Here is a 6746-nt window from a genome sequence, read left to right as displayed (position 1 = left end):
CTACAGATGAGTTTCCACTGAGGGTAATAAGAAGATTTCTCTTTTTGGAGAAACATTGTTTTGAGGGGAAAACCATGATTGCCGGCTGGGAAGGCTGAAGAGACTATTTTTCATGCTTTGTTTATACTCCCGGGATGACATTTGGGGAAGGGAAATGCAATCTTTCTCCGGAGGTTTTAATTGTGGGATTATTAATTTATTTAATTTATTAGTTTCAATTGGTTGGGCTCGGGGAGCCCTCCGTCACAGGCTGTGCTTAAGGTGACACATTTGCTAGCAGTTGGGACACATGATTGCAAATGTAAAATGTGCCTCACCCGAAAGGACTGGTCTGCTGGAAGCTCCCGTGTGGAGCTGTCGTAGGCAGGGTGCGACTGGCTCATTGAGGAAAAAGGGAATCGTTTTCCTTAGCTAAGGAAGACATCCTGTTATATTCCTTTTGTTCCCTGTTTTTCATTGATCGCCGACTCTGCCTTGGAGAGGAGAGCAGCTCGGAGGGTGCAGAGCTCTGAAGGCTGCACGAATGACTGGAGCCCACTTTAACTCTCACACTGATTGGTCAGTTAGATTGAGACTTATGAAAACAGTCACCCAAAACCTTCTTTTAAAATCGTGCTGTAGTTTCAGATAGCCCTCTTGTGCACAGATTTCTGCAGGGTCGGTTTTTCATTTGGGTGCAGTTTGCTCGAGATACCTTTATGTTTAATTTTTTGTTGTTGTTTCTATCCACATAAAGTAGGCCATTTTGGTGACAAATTTCTTTGCAGACGTCAGCTACTAGCTTACACGTATACACAGCACTTTACAATACATTCTCAATGATTTCTGCTCATAAGTTGTAGAATGCAAAGTTGTTCAACTTAGAATAATGATTCCTAACCGGGTTTTGATCTGAGTCTTTTAAAAAAAGGACCATCAGTAGATGGATGCTTAACTGTATCATTACTTTGATAATTTAAGTGCCTTGTGCATTAGCACGTTTCATGCACTAAGTCTAAAACTGTGACAGTGAAAGGAAAAGACAATGAAAAGCAAACAATCAAAATCAGCCTGCACACTATTCTGAGAGATTGTGGCATCTGCTTTGAGGCGAATGCATTTCACATCCAAGAGGAAGGGCATTCTGCACCATATAAGAATATGAATTAGTAAACACTGTGAAATGTTATATCTGTAAGACAAACTGTAAAGCCCATGAACATCTTCATTTGAGCCTTTAAAGCGATTTCATTAAAGAAGCACTGTCCCAGAAGTTGTTAAATGTATAAACACTTTTCTGATTGGCTTAAAAATTTAGACACAGGAAGTGGATTGTATCTAATAACCGATGAGTGGAGACATGGTTGTTATGGAAACCGAGAGGAGTAACCCCACCCCACCCCCACTACACATACATACTCTACCATGACCACCACTTAAAAAGAAACAAAAACAAAAACAAAAACAAAACCTGCATGTCATCACAGATGCCTGGAGAACTTGTTGGCTTCTGTAAGCTTTCCCACAGCATCTGTTGAAACCTGAGATCGCGCCTGTCAAATCAAGGTCATTTTACAACAACAACCAAAAATGTGGTCTCCTAGATTTCATAACTGTATTTTTGTTGGAAATATTTGAGGAAAGAGCCTTAAACTAAGGATGAGCCCCCAGGCTTACTTTGCATTTTGCTACCTCTGAGCTGTGCAAGGGAAGGCTAAGAACAATGTATTTGAACACTTAATTGTGGGATCAAACTGACTTGTATGTCTACAGTTAGAACAAAACTCTTTTGAGAGCCAGAAAGGTTAGAATGTTACCTGTGGATGAGGATTCATCGGGGGAAGTTATAATGAGGTGTTTGTGTTTACAAGAGGGTTCAAAGTTGAACTCAAGCAATGGAACTTACAGACTGGTGGCATTTTGAAGGCTGCGTTTGTGTGTGGGGTGGTGGGGGTGGGGTTGGGGAGTGAAAGGGAGGGATGAAGATTGCCTGGTACTTTGGGAAATATAAGAGAGGGTGTTCTCAGAGGCTAACCAGGGAAAGGAAAATCTAAATGAAAATAAGAACTGTTTCAAAAATCCCATTATTATTACCCAGTTGACTTAAATAGAAAAGTTTCCTCTTTTGTGGATGGGGAAGAGTGCTTTTGTTTTTAGGATAATTGAGACGTTCCCAGTATCAAAATTGCAAATATTTCCAGTATCTTGGTAATGATTTCCATGAGGACTATAAAGAAAAAAGTTTGGAGACCTCCCCTCCCCCTAGCCTCCACCCCCAACCCCGTTCATTTTGCTAAGCAAAAAATAACCAGAGGCCCTGTACTAAATTTTGACTTTGAGGATCAACATCGAACCTTGTAAAATATAAAGCAAATACATTTCTTATATTTTTCTAATCTTGTTAATGGCAGTCTTCAGATTTTATGTTCTTGATATTCATTTAGAAACGTCTTCCTTTAAGTCATGGCAATTTGAAGCATTGAATAGCTTTATCTTAATTGATAATGGTCAGTTTTAAAACTTGTTCAATTAACAATTTGGTCTTTTTAAAAAGCAGCAAATTTCCCTTATTTTCATCAACTAATTGCATGGGGAGTGGGGAGGAGGAGAGTCCTAACTCTATTTTAATGTTTAATATTCTGCATGTATGTCGTAGAAATATATACTGTAGAAGTTAAATATTTGACAACATGGGATTATGAAATATATGCTAAATCACCCAGATATTTAACTGATTAGGACTTGGTAAAGAAGATTAAGTTTAATGGGACAACTGGTCTCTTTTAGCAAGGATTTCCTGTAGGGAGCTTTCTTATCTGCAAGTGTGTTCATTGGCAGGAAACATGTCAGTTGCTTGTTTTTACAAACTGAAGGAAATGAATGGGATTTGTTGGTTTCTAGAATCTACCTTCATTCTCTATTGTCTTGCAAATAGTTGGCTCAGAACACTTCGTTTCGAAAGGGGCTTTGGAGTGGTACAATTCATTCTCTGCAAACCTGTGGCATTTAGGTTTATTTCTTTCTGATTTTGGAATTAGGAAAATTGATCGTGGTACAACCATGTGCAACTTATTTTCCTAATACAAATGAACAAGATGTTCAATACAATTCCAATTCATTTTCAGTTGTCAGCTAGTTACTCACACACTCACTGAAGCTGCTGTTTTTGGATGGCTATGCCAAATTTCTAATAATTATTCCAGAATACCAACCAAATGCCAGTGTCGATTTTGGATTAGTGTAGAGAGGTAAAGAGAAAGAGGCAGCTTCATTCTTCTCATTGCTTATAACAAAAGGTCCATAAAGAATACACGTTAGGTATATGCCAACCTTGCTGATAGCAAAAAAAAAAAAAAAAAAAAAATCGAAATTGGGGATGGGTTGGCTAAATCCAGTTTATAGTACACATGAGAAAAACAAATTTTAACTTTGAAAGGATTTGCTGTGCAGAAGTCTGGATTAGTTTCTGAATGTTGAAAATGAGTATATTTAATTGCTTCAATTCCTAGATGTTTCAAATTCGGGAAGAGGAGAAAAGGGTAAGCTTCTTTAAAGGAAAATAAATGCATCCGCCTCCATTTGCAGAGAGCAGCCTGGTGAGGGAGGTTAAGAGTGCCTGAGGGAGACGGAACCATTTCTTGCAATGGTTTGCACACATTTTCATAGACATCATTTTTGTTTTCTACTTAGCAACAAATAGAATCTTATGCAAGACCCTAATATATGAGTCAAATAAAAACAGAGCTGCTCTGAGGGAACTAGGAGCCCAGAGCCTGCTATTGTCACCTGGGCTGTGCCCAGGGCACACTCTGGAACCCAGTACCACTGTGTACACAGTTTGCAAATCACTGCTTCTAAAATGTTCTCTAGAGAAGACCTTGGGGAATTGCTTGCAGAGCCCTGGAACCTCTTAGCGAAAGAGAGAACTTTTGCCTTGACAATTTAAGAGGCTGCTTGTGCTCATAGTGAGCAGGAAAAAGGTGGCAATTAGTGACGTAATACAGTGTACCCTAGGAAGCCTACGTACATACAGAAAAAGATGACTGACCACAAGCATGAAAGAGCCCTGGCCCAGTCTATAATGAGAGGGAAGGCATATTTTTAGGGGTTACTTATAAACCAGGGCCCCTTTTATTTATAAATTATAGGAACATCATATGGAGGTGTTTGAGATTAGTTGGTTATAATTTTGCTGGAAATGCATGGCTTTATTCTATTTCCACCTCAAGATCTGTTCTATCACTGTTATTCTATTAGTCAGTGAAAATAATTTCATATGAAGTGTCATTCATGAAATGAAAATTTGCCAAGCTATATAAATCTGCTTGGCAGACTCAGTAGTGTTTTGAGTGTTGAGTAAAATGATAACACACAGATGATATTTGCATATCATCAAATATATTCACATTATCTCCTCAATGATGAGATTGTTCTGAAATGGCAGTATTGAGATCGGGCTCAGTTTTCCCCCTTACATCCCAGAAGCTGTCAGTATTGAGGATTTCTAGGGGTGGCAGGCAGAGGAATCCCCTTCAGTTCCACTCTTGATTTTCACAATCACTAGATTCACCTCTGCCTGGTATGGAGATGAGAAATCAGGAGACTCTTCATTCAGGCAAACCGCAGTAGAACTGTGCTGCTCATGGCCACAGCCAACCTCCCTGCATTGTTTCTCAGAGGGAGTTCAGTTGAGGAGTCTATAGAAGTAGAAAGGACAGACCCCTCTGTACATTCTCCTGTTACTTTCATTGTGCTTGCCATGTTTCTACTACCTGCATGGGGTTAGAGATGACAATTAAAATAATAAGTTTTCCAGGAAGCCAAAGATCTTCCAACAATTTGTGCTGGGAAAAAAAAATTACATATGAAATATTTCCTTTACAAAGATGAAACTAGCATAAGGACCAAATAGTTGGCTGTGGTAACGATGAAATGATCGAAATGATGGTGGTTAACTATTGAATTGTGTTGACTGACGCTTTTCATGTTGAGGCTGTTTAAAGCTATCTCCTTCCTCCTCCCACCTGCATTTCAAAGAAGAATGAGTGTGTAACCAACAGAACCGTCCCAGGGTGTACTCATGATAATGGAGCAGTGCTTCTTTGGGAGTGAGCATTAAGCTCCCATGGTTTGGGGGACTTTCTTTTTGAACTGAAGGATACATGCCAGTTACCAGGACCTTGCTGAAGTTGCTAACAGGTGGCTTCTCCAAATGTGTGCCTAGTACCTTCGCAGTGCCTTTGCAGATGCCACTTTCTTAAGGTTCAGAGAGTAGCAGGTCCCACTTGGAGAGGGATTTTAGTATATTATACAAGTTTAGATTTTAGATAATGTAAGAGTTTTTTTTTTTTTTTTTTTTTTTTTGAGACAGAGTCTTGCTCTGTCGCCCAGGCAGGACTGCAATGGCGCGATCTCGGCTGACTGCAACCTCCGCCTCCTGGGTTCAAGCAATTCTCCTGCCTCAGCCTCCTGAGTAGCTGGGATTACAGGTGCGTGCCACCACGCCTGGCTAATTTTGTATTTTTAGTAGAGATGGGGTTTCACCATGCTGGCCAGGCTCGTCTGAAACTGCTGACCTCATGATCTGCCCACCTCGGCCTCCCAAAGTGCTGGGAGCACAAGCGTGAGCCACCGTGTCCGGACTTTTTTTTTTTTAAGCAGGGTCTCACTCTGTCACTCTGTCACCCAGGCTGGAGTGCAGTGGCACAGTCAGGGCTCACTGCAGCCTCGAACTCTTGGGCTCAATGCAGCCTCGAACTCTTGGGCTCAAGCAGTCTTTCCACCTCAACCTCCCGAGTGGCTGGGACCACAGGTGTGTACCACTATGCCCTGCTAATTTTTTATTTTTGTAGAGATGGGGTCTCCCTGTGCTCCCCAGGCTGGTCTCAAACTCCTGAGCTCAAGCAATCCTCCTACCTCAGCCTCCCAAAGTGCTGGGATTACAGGTGTGAGCCACCACACCCAGCCAGTTTAAGAGCTCTTGTTGCACTCTGAAATTTCCTAATTCAGCAAACTGAATACTTTTGCAGCTTTTAAAATAAAACAGTGACTCTATAAGGACTACTTAATAAATATCTCTAAATTAAGACCATCATGTTTTTTCTTGTGACTAGATTCAGCATTTAGAATGGCCTCTTGACACTTCTGGGGAAGTGTGGCAGTATTGGGTGATACAGAAAAATCACATCACACTAGCGAGGGGCCTTCCTTTGTCAGATGCTGCTCTCTGCATTATTTTAATTGGTTCTCATATTAGCTTAATAATACTGCTACTAATACCTAATGATAATATGCATTAATGTCCCATTCTACAGATGAAGAAACCAAGGCAACTGTGTTCCCAGAGTCACCCATTCTTTGGTACCCGACTATTAATAGTTCTCACTGTCAAGTCCCCTGACTCCAAATCCCAGGCTTTCCTCCGAGACTGACCACCTCACAACTGCTCCTCTGACTGTTTCTATCCCAGGGTTGAAGACTTCCCCTTCCACACAGAAAATGGAGTTCCCTTCGGGGGGAAGAAAAAGCAGGATGGGTTGGGGAATATTTGCTGTAATTCCCACCGGAAATAGGATTTTGCTTCTTCACATTCTGTGTTCTCACATCTGACCATTAGTGATGGAAGGGGCTTTTTAGGTCCCTTGTCAGTGATTTTTTTTTTTTTTTTTTTTTTTTGAGACGGAGTCTCACTCTGTCGCCCAGGCTGGAGTGCAGTGGCACGATCTCGGCTCACTGCAAGCTCCGCCTCCCAGGTTCACGCCGTTCTC

The 6746-nt window shown here is 41.1% G+C and overlaps 1 protein-coding gene across 1 annotated transcript in view, besides 2 other annotated features; it reads left to right on the top strand.

Moving 5' to 3' along the window:
• The window catches only part of FOXN3 (forkhead box N3), a 462989-nt gene that overhangs the window by 706 nt on the left and 455537 nt on the right, over positions 1 to 6746 (top strand). The window lies entirely within an intron of this gene.
• Positions 1510 to 1569: an enhancer, noted in NCBI's record as "active region_8868". NCBI's record gives its function as "activates an Ori minimal core promoter by ATAC-STARR-seq in GM12878 lymphoblastoid cells {active_cell/tissue: GM12878}" and the evidence as "EXISTENCE:reporter gene assay evidence [ECO:0000049][PMID:35858748]".
• Positions 3827 to 3916: an enhancer, noted in NCBI's record as "active region_8867". NCBI's record gives its function as "activates an Ori minimal core promoter by ATAC-STARR-seq in GM12878 lymphoblastoid cells {active_cell/tissue: GM12878}" and the evidence as "EXISTENCE:reporter gene assay evidence [ECO:0000049][PMID:35858748]".

This window comes from Homo sapiens, chromosome 14 (assembly GCF_000001405.40).
Source record: "Homo sapiens chromosome 14, GRCh38.p14 Primary Assembly".
Lineage (NCBI taxonomy): Eukaryota > Metazoa > Chordata > Mammalia > Primates > Hominidae > Homo > Homo sapiens.
The sequence above is the reverse complement of the archived record's forward strand: the minus strand, read 5'-3'. Positions and strand labels throughout refer to the sequence as shown.